This window comes from Homo sapiens, chromosome 12, assembly GCF_000001405.40.
Source record: "Homo sapiens chromosome 12, GRCh38.p14 Primary Assembly".
Classification (NCBI taxonomy): domain Eukaryota; kingdom Metazoa; phylum Chordata; class Mammalia; order Primates; family Hominidae; genus Homo; species Homo sapiens.
In genome coordinates, this window is record NC_000012.12 from 125,007,539 (window position 1) to 125,024,359 (window position 16,821).

At 49.3% G+C, this 16,821-nt stretch overlaps 1 protein-coding gene across 2 annotated transcripts in view; it reads left to right on the forward strand.

Moving 5' to 3' along the window:
• Positions 1 to 16,821, forward strand: part of BRI3BP (BRI3 binding protein) — a 57,523-nt gene that overhangs the window by 13,894 nt on the left and 26,808 nt on the right. For both annotated transcript variants that reach the window (XM_011537940.3, NM_080626.6), the window contains exon 2: positions 4,996 to 5,098. In XM_011537940.3, the coding sequence (XP_011536242.1) occupies positions 4,996 to 5,098 (103 nt within the window). The remainder of the gene's footprint in view (positions 1 to 4,995; positions 5,099 to 16,821) is intronic.

The following is a 16,821-nucleotide window of genomic DNA, read 5'->3' on the forward strand; positions in this document are numbered from 1 at the left end:
ACTCTGTCTCAGGAAAAAAAAATGTAACAGGAAGAGCTGGGCATGTAGCAGCTGCCTGTGGTCCCAGCTACGTGGGAGGCTGAGGTGGGAGGATTGCTTGAACCCAGGAGTTTGAGACTGCAGTGAGCCGTAATTACCCCCACTGTACTCCAGGCTGGGCAACAGAGCAAGACCCTGTCTCCAAAAAAAAAAAAAGAGCGTACATTCTGTAATCTATTTATTTACTCATTATTATTATTTTCTGCTATTTCTCGATGTTGCTGGATATGTCCATCGTTGTTTTTGTTGCTGTGGAATTGGACTCCATTCTGTGAGCAGATCATGTCTTACTACGCGTCTCTTCCATTGTGCACGTATGTCTGGCCTGCCTGCAGCTTTTTAGTGCAGTGGCGCTCTGAAGGCACATGTGCAACTGCCTCTCTCAGTCAAGGTCCTCAACCTGGAGTGTGCCTCAGCATCACCAGGAGGGCTGTGGAAACAGATTGCTGGGCTCCATCCCTGGAGAGTCTGAGGCAGTGGATCTGGATGGGGCCCTGAGAGTCTGCATTTCTGGCAAGCTCCTGGGTGATGCTGCTGCTGCTAGTCCGGGCACCACCACACTCTGAGAACCACTGAGCTGGGATGTGTACCGTGACATGGAATCTCTGGAAGACCTCTTCATGGGTGTGGTTCTGATTCATGCTGGTCTTCTGCAGGCCCTCCTCCCAGATCCCGCCGCCTACCCCCACCCAAGGGAGGGGCAGTCACCCTCCTCTTCTTTCTTTTTTTTTTTTTTTTTTTTTTGATTTTTTTGAGACAGAGTCTCGCTCTGTCGCCCAGGCTGGAGTGCAGTGGCGCGATCTCGGCTCACTGCAAGCTCCGCCTCCCGGGTTCACACCATTCTCCTTCTTCAGCCTCCTGTGTAGCTGGGACTACAGGCGCCCACCACCACGCATGGCTAATTTTTTGTATTTTTAGTAGAGACGGGGTTTCACCGTGTTAGCCAGGATGGTCTAGATCTCCTGACCTTGTGATCCGCCCGCCTCGGCCTCCCAAGTGCTGGGATTACAGGCATGAGCCACCACGCCTGGCCACCCTCCTCTTCTTTCTAATGCAGCGGTCCTCAACCTTTTTGGCAGCGGGACCAGTTTTGTGGAAGACAGTTTTTCCATGGACTGGGTCGGGGGATGGTTTCGGGATGATTCAGGCGCATTACGTTTATTGTGTACTTTATTTCTATTATCATTACATTGTAATATAGAATGAAATAATTATACAACTCACCATAATGTAGAATCAGTGGGAGCACTGAGCTTGTTTTCCTGCAACTAGACAGTTGCATCTGTTCCTTCTGGGGGTGACGCGGACAGTGGCAGATCATCAGGCATTAGGATCTCACAAGGAACATGTAACCTAGATCCCTCGCATGCAGTTCACAATAGGGTTCACACTCCTATGAAAATTTTTTTTTTTTTTGAGACAGAGTCTCGCTCTGTTGCCCAGGTTGGAGTGCAATGGCGTGATCTTGACTCAGTGTAACCTCCACCTCCCAGGTTCAAGCGATTCTCCTGCCTCAGTCTCTCCCAAGTAGCTGGAATTACAGGCGCACAACACTACACTCAGCTAATTTTTTTTGTATTTTTAGTAGAGATGGGGTTTCAGCATGTTAGTCAGGCTGGTCTCAAACTCCTGACCTCAGGTGATCCACCTGCCTTGGCCTCCCAAAGTGCTGGGATTACAGGTGTGGGCCACCGCACCCAGCCATCTTTTTTTTTTTTTTTTTTTTTTTTGAGATGCTGTCTCCCTCTATCACCCAGGCTGGAGTGCAGTGGCATGATCTCGGCTCATTGCAACCTCTGCCTCCCAGGTTCAAGCAATTCTCCTGCCTCAGCCTCCCAAGTAGCTGGGATTACAGGCGTGCACCACCACGCCCAGCTAATTTTTGTGTTTTCAGTAGAGACAAGGTTTCGCCATGTTGGCCAGGCTGGTCTTGAACTCCTGGCCTCAGGTGATCTACTCGCCTCGGCTTCCCAAAGTGCTGAGATTACAGGCGTGAGCCACCAGGCACAGCCTATAATGTTTTCTTAAGGTAAATTAGAGATGGGGGGGGGGTCTCATTTTGTTGCCCAGGCTGGTCTCGAACTCCTGGGCTAAAGCAGTCCTCCCACCTCAGCCTCCCAAAGTGCTGGGATTATAGGTGTGAGCCACCGTGCCCAGCCTCTATACTGTTTTTTAGGGCTAAAATGTTGGTGTCCTCACAGGACATCGTGGAGTCAATACTTCTGTTAGAATATTGGACATCGGCCGGGCATGGTGGCTCATGCTTATAGTCCCAGCACTTTGGGACGCCTAGGCAGGCGGGTCACTTGAGGTCAGCAGTTCGAGACCAGCCTGGCCAGCATGGTGAAACCCCATCTCTACTAAAAATACAAAAATTAGCTGGGTATGATGGCAGGCGCCTGGAATTCCAGCTACTCAGGAGGCTGAAGCAGGAGAATCTCTTGAACCCAGGAGGCGAAGGTTGCCTTGAGTCGAGATTGCACCAGTGCACTCCAGCCTGGGTGACAGAGTGAGACCCTGTCTCAAAAAAAAAAAAGAAGAAGAATATTGGATGTGGATGTCAACAGGAGTCTTGAACACTTACCATGTGCTCAAAGCATTTCACGTGAATATCCCATGTAAAGCTCGCAATAACCAGATGAAGTAGGTACTGTTATCTCCATTGTTAGTGGAAACCCTGCAGCCCCAGAGAGCTTATGAATATATATAATATGCTCATGGACACCCAGCTAGTAAGAGGCAGAGCTGGGATTTGAACCCATGCAGTCGACAGCCTGGCTTGTGCTTTCTCAGCCACAGTGCCACCTCTGAGGTTATTGGCATTTTCTACTCTCCTGGTCCCTGATTCAGCCCTGCTCTTATCTCCTCTGTCCTGTAGGAACCATCCAGTCAGGATATCCAGTTTAAAATGCTGTAGCCGGCCAGGCATGGTGGCTCATGCCTGTAATCCCAGCACTTTGGGAAGCTGAGATGGGTGGATCACAAGGTGAAGAGATCGAGACCATCCTGGCCAACATGGAGAAACCCCATCTCTACTGAAAATACAAAATTAGCTGGGCATGGTGGCGCATGCCTGTAGTCGCAGCTACTCGAGAGGCTGAGGCAGGAGAATCACTTGAACCTGGGAGGAGGAGGTTGCAGTGAGCCGAGATCGTGCCACTTGCACTCCAGCCTGGCGACAAAGCGAGACTCCAAATAAAATAAAATTAAATTAAAACATAAAATACTGTAGCTGCCCGGGTGTGGTGGCTCACGCCTATAATCCCAGCACTTTGGGAGGCCGGGGTGGGCAGATCACCTGAGGTCAGGAGTTCAAGACCAGCCTGGCCAACATGGTGAAACCCCGTCTCTACTAAAAATATGAAAATTACCTGAGTGTGATGGTGCGTGCCTGTAGTACCAGCTACTCGGGAGGCTGAGGTGGGAGGATTGCTTGAACTTGGGAGGTGGAGGCTGCAGTGAGCCGAGATCATACCACTGCACTCCAGCCGGAGTGACAGAGCGAGACCCTGTCTTAAAAAAAAAAAAAAAAAAAAAAAGCTGTAGCCAATTCACGGAGGCATTTACCCTTCACACGTGAGCCGAGTGGCCCATGTAGGTGGGTTCTATTATGGCAGCACTCTGCGTGATGCAGCCCTGCAGAGTCCCAGCCCCCATAGATACCTTGGTCAGCCCTTACAAGGGAAGGGGCGTGTTTTACTCAGTTTTGCTCAGTTGTTGGGCTGTCATCAATTAGTATCAAGTTCAAGTTAATCCCCTGGGCCAGTAGACCACTTGGTGGCATTCATCATGGGCTCGCTGTTTTTTCCCCTGTAATAGCCAAGGCTGGAAACCATGTAGGTATCCATGAGTATGGGCCTGGCTCCAGGTGTACCATGTTTAAAAAGGATGAGGCAGCTCTGTGTGGTCTGAGTGTGAGTATCTCCAAGACAGAGTGTTGCATGAGCAAAGCAGCTCAGCTGTACACCTGTGCTGCCATTGCAGAAAGAATATGTCTGTGCCATTATTCACCTGGCACGTCTAAGGAAGGGTTCCTCCGGAGGGGGATTCCAGTTGCCAGGAAATGAGAGGGAAGGCTTAGTCTCCACTGAATACCTGTTGGTAGGCTTGAGTTTTATGCTACATGTATACAATATCACTAATTTTTTAAAAAAAAAAGTTAAAATGAGGCTGTACCTTGTATTCATGTTTCTTTAGCCCTGTGTCACCTGGAGGGCAAATAAAGACCTCAGAGGCTCAGGGTCCTTAGAGTTGGATAGAGCATGGGGCTGTATCATTACCAGCTTCCTTGGAGCAGAAACTTCCACTCTTTAAAAATGAGAAACCCGCAGGGTGCGGTGCAGTGTTTCACGCCTATAATCCCAGGACTTTGGGAGGGCCAGGCAGGAGGACTGCTTGAGGCTTAGAGTTTGAGACCAGCCTGGACAACATAGCAAGAGCCCATCTCTACAAAATAATAATAAAGCCTGGTGTGGTGGCTGCACCTGTAGCCCTAGCTACTTGGGAAGCTAAGGCAGGATTGCTTGAGCCCGGGAGTTTGAGGGTGCAGTGAGCTATCATTGCACCACTGCACTCCAGCCTGGTCAACAGTGAGACCCTGTCTCTTTAGAGAAATCAGGCAGAGGAAGGCAGAGATCCTGACCCAAGAGGAAGCATGAAAGACAGCAGGAGCAATGGCAAGCGGCGTAACGCGGCCCTGCAGAGAGTCCCAGCCTCCATAGGTGCCTTGTTCAGCCCTTGCAAGGAAGGGGTCGTTTTCACCAGTTTTTCTCAGTTAGGCTGTGATCAGTACCCAGTTCAAGTCAATCCCCTGGGCCAGTAGTCCACATGTGTGGTATTCATCATGGGCTCACTATTTTTCCCTTCCCAGGTATAAACTCCCAAGCTCCCCAGTTCACTGCTTGACTGATGGAGGAAAACAGTGATTGGGTGATGACCGTTTTCTTGTTTCTGCAGTTCTTGGCCAGGCTGACTGAGAGATTTGTGCTGGGAGTGGATATGTTCGTGGAGACACTGTGGAAAGTCTGGACCGAGCTCTTGGATGTTCTTGGACTTGACGGTAGGTGTAGGGGTGGCATTCACGTAAGGTGTCATTCTATTTTGGTGGTTCTCATAGTGTGGAACTGGTACTCACAGTGAGTAATACATGAGAAGGTTGCGGAGGGCTGGTCAGTGAGGATATGAGTGAACATTTTTTATTTTAATAGTCTCATATATAGGCCAGGCATGGTGGCTCATGCCTGTAATCCCAGCACTTTGGGAGACCAAGGTGGGAGGGTTGCTTGAACCCAAGAATTCAAGACCAGCCTGGGCAACATGGTGAGATCCCATCTCTATAAAAAAAAAGTACAAAAAAATTGCTGGGTGCAGTGATGTGCACCTGTAGTCCCCATCCACTTGGGAGGCTGAGGCAGGAGGATTGCCTGAGATGAGGAATTCGAGGCTGCAGTGAGCTATGATCATGCCACTGTACTCCAGACTGGACGACAGAGCAAGACTCCTCTCAAATAATCATAAAAATAAAAAACAAATGGCCCATCAAAGCTGAGATTTCCCAGATGCCACTTAGGATAAGGTGCGACTGGGTAGTGGGAGTGCCAATTTGTGTGCAAAACACATGGACCAGAGGTATAGTGCTCTGGCTTACTGGCATCCGTGCAAGAAATGACTAGTTATTTAGGCAGAAGGGGATTTCATGAGACAGAGACACTCACAGAACCATCAGAAAGGCTGAGGAAGAGATGCATGGCCTCAGACACTGCCGAACTGGCTGTCCAGGGTTGCAGCTGTTGAAACCGTTGAGTTCGAAGTCACACAACTGTAGTATAATTTGAGGACCAGGAGGCCACTGCTGCCGCCACAACAACTAGACTTTGCATGTGGGTGCAGGGACCCTTGCCATTTCTGGAACCATGCATATCAGCTGCAACACTTCACTTAATTTCCAAAGTCGTGTGTGTATGGGGGAACTGCCAGGTGGAACTTACTTTCTGTCCAGTCCCTAGCTGCGAGGGAGGCAGGCTAATGCGGTTCTTAGCTCTCCAGCTTCTGCCATCCAGGAAGGCAGCCTGGGAGCAGGTGTCACCTGATGCTGCACCAGCCCATCCACCATACCCACCGCACAGGGCAAGAATTGCCAGGGGAGCTGGCCCCTGGTTTTGTGGGCTAGGGGAGGAGGGTAGTCCAGTTTGATAGTGCAGTGCTAGTCACACGTTTATAATCAGGAAGAGAACATTGGTGAGGCACGGCCCCTCCCTTTCTACATGTGGGAGGGGGCACTGATACTGGTCTTGGCGGATGGCAAGGCAGCAACGGTCATGGTAACTGAGCTGGGCACTCCTAGTCCAGTCCTGCAGCCTGTGCTACCCCCAGCCTTACACTCCCCTTCCCAGGTGGCTCTGCCCCACCTCCACCTGCATTCCATCGGTGGGTGACAGGAGCTAACCCGGGCAGAGTGCCCAGGGTGTACAGCTTTTATACCCAGAGGAGACCTTGTCCCTTACCGCCTTAAGAGCTTCAGAGGCATCCCATGCTCTCAGGATGAAGTAACCTTCCCGTTTTCTCTACCGTGCCCCATGGTGTGCCAGGTAAACAGGGATCTCCTAGCTGCCCCCGCTCCACTGCTCTCCTTCTGTCCACAAGGTGGAGGCCGCTCTTCCCCTGGGCCTTTCCAGAGGAAATTCCCCAGCTGGGCTCTTTCCAGCCCCACCGCCCTGGTCCCTGGTCCCAGCTGCCACCTGTCTCACGGGAAGGTCTGCAGTTGCTGCATGTGGCAGGGTTCCTAAGACCATCTACAGGCTCACCGGTTCCCTAGGAGCACTGGCAGGACTCAGCATATAGTTGTCCTCACAGCCGTGATTTATTGTGACGGAAGGACGCAAACACCATCAGCAAAGGGAAAAGGTGCGCGAATTCCCGGGCAGGCCAGGCCCAAGCTTCAGAGTTCTCTCCCTGTGGAGTCATACGGGACACACTTAATTCCCCCAGCAGAGGGTGCCCACCAAGGACTCCCTGCCCAGGCTTTTTACTGGGGGCTGGTCATGTAGTCACCCTCTGCTTGACACGTGTCAAAATTCTAGACTCCCAGAGGGAACGCAGGTGTTGTCATAAACCACATCATTTGTGTCAACAGCCTAGGCCTGGCATCTCCAGGCTGCACTCTGGCCCCAGCTCTGCACCTGGCACAAAGAGGCCCTTTTTGTTTGTTTTTGTTTAGGATCTCACTCTGTTGCCCAGGCTGGAGTGCAGTGGCTCAATCACAGCTCACTACAGCCTCAACTTCCTGGGCTCGTGATCCTCCCACCTCAGCCTCCCGAGTAGCTGGGACCACAGGCCCATGCCACCACACCTGGCTAATTTTTGAATTTTCTGTAGAGACAGGGTCTTACCATGTTGCCCAGGCTGGTCTCAAACTCTTGGGCTCAAACCATTCTACTGTTTCAGCCTCCCAAAGTGCTGAGATTGTAGGCGTGAGCCACCACACCCAGCCCACCCTTGGTTAATAAGAGCAGGAGGGCTGTGGGTCCCACTGCTTAGCCAGTCATGTGGGCTGAAATGTGCTCCTCAAGAATATGTGTTCCAGTCCTAATCCTGGACCTGTGAGTGAGCCCTTGTTTGGGAGTGGGGTCTGCAGATGTGATAAAGTTAAATGAGATCGTCTTGGATTAGGGTGGACCCTCAGTGTAATGATTGCTGTCCTTATAAGAAGTGGGGAATTTGGACACAGAAACACCAAGAAACATAGGGAGAAGACGGCCATGCGAAATGAGAAACAGGGACTGGAGGGACGGAGCCACAAGCCAAGGAACACTGGGACCACCAGAAGCTGGAAGAGGCGAGGAAGGATCCTCCCTTGAACTTTCAGAGGGAGTGTGGCCCCACCAAGACCTTGATTTCAGACTTCCAGCCTCCAGAACCGCAAGTGGATGAATTTCTGTTGTAAACCACCCAGTTGGTAGTGGTTTGTTGCGGCAGTCACGGGAAACCATTATACCATAGCCCTGTTACATGCGGAATCTCTCAGCAGCGCCCATTGGTGCTTGACACCCAGAGATGGGGGAGTGGGGTCCACTGGCCATGATGGGCACACTGGTTCATACCTGTTGACACCCCAGGCCATTCAGAAATGTCTCCAGCCTTAATTCATTGAGTTCAACCTTTAAGAGGCCTTAGGCCAACTCAGTCACCTCACTGCTCAGACAAAGAATCAGAGGCGTCAGCATAGCCAGAGGACACTGTGCACCTGGCAGCCCCCTGGGGCCACTCATGGCCCCTCCAGGGACTTGGCAGAGTTAACGCACCCTCCCCCAGATGCAGCCACCGCGTGCAATCCTCTTAGCTTCCGTATCCACCACCTGCCCGGATTGTCAAACTCTCTGTGTTTTCGTCGCCACCCATTGAACCCTGGAGAAACAAACCTGATTGCAGAAAATCGCACGCAGCTTGGAATGAAAAACTACAGAGTAGGAACAGCCTCCTAATCATATGGAAGAAGCCCAGAATAGAGGCATCGGCAGCGGATCCACGAGCCCTGAATGCCTGCATTCATCAGGGGAGCAGCTGGCGCGTTCTGGAGGCGAAACGAGCTTGCTTCCGTGTCGAAGCTTTTCTAGTTCTGTTTGATGCGTAAGCTTCAAGGCATCCGAAGCCCTTTGGAATTCGTGTCTTATGCGTAGAAGTTTGAGTGCAAAATGCTTTACAGGAAGCCATACACCAACGTTGGATATTCTGGTAAAAAAGGTTTCTGTGAGCACAATTCTATAATTTCTTTCTTCAGTGTTTTTTTTTTTTTTGAGTCTGGTTAAAATGGGAACTCTGTAGCCCCGAATGGTCTAATAGCAAAAAAATGTGAGCCCCCTAGGTGATGTGAAGTTTTCTAGTAACCATGTCAAAAGAGTAAAAAGAAATGGTGAAATTAGTTTTTCTTCCTTTTTTGGGGGGGAGGGGGTGGGGAGTGGGGGGTAGGAGGGACGAAGTCTCACTCTATTGCCCAAGCTGAAGTGCAATGGCGCTATCTCGGCTCACTGCAACCTCTGCCTCCTGGGTTCAAGTGATTCTCCTGCCCCAGCCTGCCAAGTAGCTGGGATTACAGGCATGCACCACCACACCCGGCTAATTTTTCTGTATTTTTAGTAGAGACAGGGTTTCACTATGTTGGCCAGGCTGGTCTTGAGCTCCTGACCTCGTGATCCGCCCGCCTCAGCCTCCCAAAGTGCTGGGATTACGGGCATGAGCCACTGCGCCCAGCCTTTTTTTTTTTTTTTTTTTTTTTTTTTGAGACAGAGTCTTGCTCTGTTGCCCAGGCTGGAGTGCAGTGGTGCAATCCCAGCTCACTGCAACCTCCACCAACCCAGGCTCAGGTGATCCTCCCACCTCAGCTTCCCAACTAGCTGGGACCACAAGTGTGCACCACCACATCTGGCTAACGTTTGTATTATTATTATTATTTTTTTTTTTCTGAGACCGAGTATTGCTCTGTCGCCCAGGCTAGAATGCAGTGGCCGATCTCATCTCACCACTGCAACCTCCACCTCCCGGGTTCAAGCAATTCTCGTGCCTCAGTCTCCCGAGTAGCTGGGATTACAGGCACCTGCCACCATGCCTGGCTAATTTTTGTATTTTTTTTTAGTAGAGATGGGGTTTCACCATCTTGGCCAGGGTATTCTCGAACTCCTGACCTCATGATCCACCTGCCTCGGCCTCCCAAAGTGCTAGGATTACAGGCGTGAGCCACCGTGCCCCCCTAATGTTTTTTTTTTATAGAGATGGGGTTTTGCCATGTTGCCCAGGGTGGTCTCGAACTCCTGAGCTCCAGTGATCTGCCTGCCTTGGCCTCCCAGAGTGCTGGGATTACAGGCATGTGCCACCATGCCCAGGTGAAATTAATTTTAATAAGATATTTTAGTTAACCCAATATATTAAAAACAACTTATAATTAATAGAAAATTATCAGGTGTCTCACAGTTTTTTGGGTAACTAAGGCCTTTGAGACAGTCTCTATTTGACACTTAGAGCGCACATCAGTTCTGACTTGTCACATTTCAAGGGCTCAGCACACGATAGATGGCACAGCCTTTGTCCCCATTCTAGATCTGCTGGCACAGAGCACATGTCCAGGAGTTGGAAGGATGGCTTAGAAGGATGGATTTAAGGCTCATGTCTTCATCGTGTTGCTTACCCCTCTGAAGCTGCTGAGGCCACTTCCAACAAAGTTTCCAGTAAACTGGGGAAAATAGGAATCGTGCTTCAGTGATGCGTCGGCACAGGGCAGGGGTTGTGTGGCTCCGGAAACTGGATCCCCTGGTTCCAAATCCCAGCTCTGCCCTGTCCTAGCTGTGGGACCCTGGGCAAGGAGTCCTTGTGTGGAAAATGCTGTTTACCCTATCAGCGAGTCATGAGGACTGGATGACTGTGTGTGTAGGGTGGTGGGATGGCGCCCAGCCCATGGTCGGTATTCAGTAAACACTCGGGGGCTTACAAAGGGGCCCTCCTTCAAAATGTACATCACTGTGCAGTTCTGGGACCTGCCAATCTCACTTCTCCACACTGAGGGGCGGCTGGCCAGCTGCACCCAGAGCCAGCTTCCCCTGCTGCAGCCATCAGGACTTGACAAGTGTGCAGGTGTAAACCCGACCCACGCTGAGGAACAAGTTGGCCACCAAAACATTCACTTTGCTTGAACAGTGCCTGTTAGGAGTTGAATTGTGTGTCCCCGTATTCATCTGTTTTATCTGTTGAAGTCCTAACCCCCAGAGCCTCAGAATGGGATGCTATTTGGAGATGGGGTCATTGTGGGTGTCATTTGTTAAGATGAGGTCATACTGGAGTAGGGTGAGTCCCAAATCCAATGTGACCGGTGTCCTTATACGAAGGGGAAATTTAGACACAGACACACGTAGGGAGAAGGCCACGTGAAGGCAGAGTAAGAGAGAGGAGTGTGTCTGGCAGTCACGGAGTGCCAAGGATCACCAGCAATCCGCAGACACTAGGAGAGGCCCGGGCAGATTCACCCTCGAGCCTCTGGAGCCAGCCCTGCTGACACGCTGTTCACAGACTTCCAGCCTCCAAACAAACTGAGAGAATAAACTTCTGTTCTTTTTTTTTTTTTTTTTTCTTTTCTTGAGATGGAGTCTTGCCCTGTTGCCCAGGCTGAAGTGCAGTGGCGCTATCTCGGCTCACTGCAGCCTCCGCCTCCTGAGTTCAAGCGATTCTAGTACCTCAGCCTCCCGAGTGGCTGAGATTACAGGCACATGCCACCAAATCTGGCTAATTCTGTTTTTGTTTTTGTTTTTGTTTTTTTGAGACAGAATGTTGCTCTGTTGCCCAGGTTGGAGAGCAATGCCGCAATCTTGGCTCACTGCAACCTCCGCCTCCCGGGTTCAAGCGATTCTCCTGCCTCGGCCTCCTGAGTAGCTGGAATTACAGGCACCCACCACCACGCCTGGCTAATTTTTATATTTCAGTAGAGACGGTATTTCACCATGTTGGCCAGGCTGGTCTCGAACTCCTGATCTCAGGTGATCCACCTGCGTTGGCCTCCCAAAGTGTTGGGATTACAGACATGAGCCACTGCGCCCGGCCTTCTACTCCTTTTTAGCTACTTGGCCATGGCAGCGCTAGGGAAGTCAGACGGTGCCCCTTTGCTGTCAGAACGTGCAGGGCCACTCGTGTTTTCTTTAGGATTTTCAGGGCCTCGGAGTGACGTTGCTTTGGACCACCCTTCCTTGGTTTAAAGGACAGCTTTCACTGAAGTCACCGAGAGGTGGAAGGCAGGGGTGGCATTCTCGTCTCTGGGCATCTTTCCTGGCTGATCACTATCTTGGCCCCTTGATGACACGATGCTTCTCAAAGTATGCTCAGAGGAACCCCAGGAGGTCCCTGAGACCCTTTTGGTTAGGAGGGGTGACTGTGAGTTCCTCTCTTCTCCCGTAACATGTCTCTGAGGTCAGGGATTCAGTACGTACTTTAATACTTCCATATATATTGATGCCACGTTAAGATGATGACATTTTAGATAGATTGGATTAAACAAAATATCTTATTAACATTAATTCCACCCTTTTTTTTTTTTTTTTTTTTTTGCCTTTTTTGCTGTGAGTACTTGAAAATTTTCAGTGACAAACATGGCTCACATTTGTGGCTGGTGTTCTGTTCCTCTGAATTCAAAACCAGATTTGGGGGCCAGGTCTCCTCTAAATAGCTAGATAGGAAAGAGACTGGCAAACATTCAAAGCACTGCCACTGTTCTCAGAGTGGTTTGTTCTGCTTTAGAAACAGTTGCTTTTTGTGAAAAATATTTTGTGTTAACCTATTGTCTTGGTCAGTTCAGGCTGCTATAACAAAATTCCATAGACTGTGTGGCTTATCAACAACAGACTTTTTTTTTTTTTTTTTTTTTTTTGAGATGGAGTCTCTCTCTGTTGCCCAGGCTGGAGTGCAGTGGCGCAACCTCAGCCTCCCGGGTTCCAGTGATTCTCCTGCCTCAGCCTCCTGAGTAGCTGGGATTACAGGCATGCACCACTATGCCCGGCTAATTTTGTATTTTTTTTAATAGAGACAAGGTTTCGCCATATTGGTCAGGCTGGTCTCGAACTCCTGACTTCAGATGATCTGCCCACCTTGGCCTCCCAAAGAGCTGGGATTACAGGCATGAGCCACCGTGCCCGGCCTAACAGACATTTTCATTTCTTACAGTTTGGAGGCAGGAAGTCCAAAATGAAGGCACTGGCAGATGCAGGCTGTGGGGAGAGCCCTTTCTTGTAGACGATGCCTCACTGTGTCTCACATGAAGGAACAAGGCGGTTCTCTGGGACCTCTTTATAAGGGCACTAAACCCATTCATGGGGGCTCCACCCCTACGACCTGATCACCTCCCCAGGACCCCACCTCCTAAGACCATCACTTTTGGGGTTAGGATTTCAACATAGGAATTTTGTGGGGGACACAAATACTCAAAGCCTAGCATCTGTAATGGGTTGTTATTTGAAAATGAGTTAATGATAGCAATGTTTTTAAATTATTAACAATGGCTGGACACAGTGGCTCATCTGGTAATCCCAGCACTTTGGGAGGTTGAGGCAGATGGATTGCTTAAGCCCAGGAGTTTGAGACCATCCTTGGCAACACAGTGAGACCCTGTATCTACAAAAAATCAAAACATTAGCTTGGTGGTGCATGCTTGTAGTCTCAGCTACTTGGGAGGCTGAGGTGAGAGGATCGCTTGAGCCCAGGAGGTAGAGGTTGCAATGAGCTAAGATCATGCTACTGAAGTCTAGCCTGGGCTACAGAGCAAGACTCTGTCTCAAATAAATAAATAAATAAATAATAAAATTTAAAAGATAATTAACAACTAATTAAAAACTACCTAATTTTCTGCTATGGAAAATATATCAGTTAGGTAGAACCCACATAAACGAAAGCTCTGGGGACGCTTCAATAATACTGAAGAGTGCAAACGGTCTTGAGACTGAGAGGTCTGGGAAACACTGGTTTAGCCTCCAGTCTGCAGGGGACAGGTGTGAAAGTCAGCTCCCAAGTCAACCACATTTAGTCAAAATGCTCACGATGCCTCAGGAAGGCACAGTGTAGCAAACACACTCTGGCTTCTGGGGAGTCCTGGTGACCCCAAGCCTTTAGTCCCAGAGATGGCTGCTGTTTACAGTGTTGGACTCTAGACACTGGCCAGCTGTGCGGAGTCTGATCATTTTGGGGAACTATGAGATGTTCACGCCGTAGGTGTCGTTATTGACCGGAGGAGCTCCAGGGTTGAGGCTTCCCATCTCAGGCCTGCTCTGGATTTGCGCTTGCCCACTCCAGATCGTTGTGTCACACTTTGGTCCTCTTTGGCTGGGCGTGGTGCCTCACACCTATAATCCCAGCACTTAGGGAAGCCAAGGCAGGCAGGTTGCTTGAGCTCAGGAGTTCGAGACCAGCCTGGGCAACATAGCGAGATCCTATCTGTATTTGCTGGTTTCCACACTGCTATAAGGAACTACCTGAGGCTGTGTAATTTATAAATAAAAGAGATTTAATTGACTCACAGTTCCACATGGCTGGGGAGGCCTCAGGAAACTTGTAATCATGGCGGAAGGCAAAGGGGAAGCAAGGCACGTCTTACGTGGTGGCAGGAGAGAGGAAGCAAGAGCGAGGGGTAAACTGCCAAACACTTTTAAACCATCAGATCTCGTGAGACTCACTCACTTTCATGAGAATAGCATGGAGGAAACCACCTCCACGATCCAATCACCTCCTACCAGGTCCCTCCCTGGACACGTGGGGATTACAATTTGAAATTAGATTTGGGTGAGAACACAGAACCAAACCACTTCACTGTCTCTACAAAAAAATACAAAAATTAGCCAGCTGTGGTGGTGCATGCCTATAGTCCTAGCTACTCGGGAGTCTGAGGTGGGAGGATCGCTTGAGCCCAAAAGGTCAAGGCTGCAGTGAGCCGAGATCACACCATCACACTCCAGCCTGGGTGACAGAAAAAGACCCTGTCTTAAAAAAAAAAAAAAAAAAAAAAGACCACAGATTCTTGGGCCCACCCAGGACCTACTGAATCAGATGTCCTGGGGGTGGGGCCCAGCAACCTGTTTTCCTAAGCCCTCCAGGGGATTCCTGGAGGAATCACACAAGTTTGAGAACTGCTTGTGTGAGAAGGCTTAGGATATAACTCTCCTTGAACTCATTAAACAACACTGTCAGGAAACAAACAATTGCAGCATGTGGGACCTCCTGCAAGAAAACCATCCTGGAAAAATTAGACTTCAGAATTTCAGTGTTTCTAAAATGTCATGGGTCTCTTCTCAATTAATGGAGACTAAAGTGATGGCAAATGCTGAACGTGAACTGTCGCTGGGTCCTGGTGAGGGTTGGGAGGAAACAGCTATTCCTGGATAACTGAGAAATTCAAGTGATGTTATATGGAATTGTTAATTTATTATTTATTTATTTATTTATTTATTTTTTGAGACAGAGCCTCACTGTGTCTCAGGTTGGAGTGCAGTGGCGCCATTGGCTCACTGCAACCTCTGCCTCCCTGGGTTCAAGCGATTCTCGTGCCTCAGCCTCCCAGGTAGCTTGGATTACAGGTGTGCGCCACCACGCCCAGCTAATTTTTATATTTTTAGTAGAGATGGGGTTTCACCATGTTGGCCAGGCTGGTCTCAAACTCCTGATCTCAGGTGATCCACCCACCTTGGCCTCCCAAATGCTGGCATGAGCCACCGTGCCCAGCCTGGAATTGTTAATATTCTTAGAATGATGATAGTATCATGGTTTTGAGGTGAATGATGTCTTTATTCTTAGATGTATGATGAAGTATGATGTGTACATCTTTCAAATGGGTTAATCTAAAAAGTATGTAAATAGAGAATGCAACATTCAGAATTTTTAATAATTGTTCAGTCTAGTTGGTTTCAAAAGGAATATTCTACTGTTCTTTTAACTTTTTTGTTTGAATTTCTTCAAGTCAGGCACACAGAAGATGCTACTCTTACATTTCACTGCATTCTTGAGATGGAACTTCGTGTGTGGGTACCAGTTAGGATCAGGTTTGGCTGAAACAGAAATCCAACATAACATTGGCTTAACCAAGATGGACACCTATTTCCCTCTTATATGAAAGTTCTCAGGGAGGTGGTGAGGCGGGTTTGATGGCTCTGATGCATGTGGTGCTCTGGACCAAAGCACCTTCCATTTTATTGTTCCTCCATGAGTGCCTTCCAAAATGGCTGCTCCAGTTCCAGCCATTGTATCCATGTTCCAGCAGGCAGAAGAGGTAAAGGACACATTCCTGCTACTTTTAGGGAACACATGGCCAAAGCTTAGTTATGTAGCTGCAAGAGAGGCTAGGAAATGCTTTAATCCTAGGTAGTTGTGTGCCCAGCCTGAAGGTGGGCATTTGTTACTATGGAAATTGAAGGACAATTTGCAGGCTATGCCCCACTTCCAGAGGTGTTTTAGTAAAAGGTGAAAGTTGTCTTTTGAGACAAAGTCTTACTCTGTCACACAGGCTGGAGTGCAGTGGCACATTATGGCTCACTGCAGCCTCTACCTCCCAGCCTCAAGTGATCCTCCCACCTCAGCCTCCTGAGTAGCTGGGACTACAGGTGTGTGCTACCACACCTGTCTAATTTTTTTAAAATTTGTGTTCTCTAGAGATTGGGTCTGTATTAGTCTATTTTCACACTGCTATCAAAACATACCCGAGGCCAGGCGCAGTGGCTCACACTTGTAATCCCAGCACTTTGGGAGGCTGAGGAGGTGGATCACTTGAGGACACTAGTTCAAGACCAGCCTGGCCAACATGGTGAAACCTCATCTCTACTAAAAATACAAAAATCAGCTGGGTGTGGTGGCATGTGCCTATAATCCCAGCTACTTGGGAGACTGAGGCAGGAGAATTGCTTGAACCTGGGATGCAGAGGTTGCAACGAGCCAAGATTGTGCCACTGCACTCCAACCTCAAAAACACAAACAAAAAAACCAAAAAACCTGAGACTAGGTAATGCATAAATAAAAGAGGTTTAATTGACTCACAGTTCTGCGTGGCTCAGGAAACTTATAATCATGGCAGAAGGCAAAGGAGAAGCAAGCACCTTCTTCACAAGGCAGCAGGAGAGAAAGAGAGAGCAAAGGGGGCAGCTGCCAAACACTTAAACCATCAGATCTCATGAAACCCCCCCCCCTCCACTGTCACAAGAACAGCATGGGGAAACCACCCCCATGATCCAATCACCCCCCACGAGGTTCCTTCCTCCACACGTGAGGATTATAATT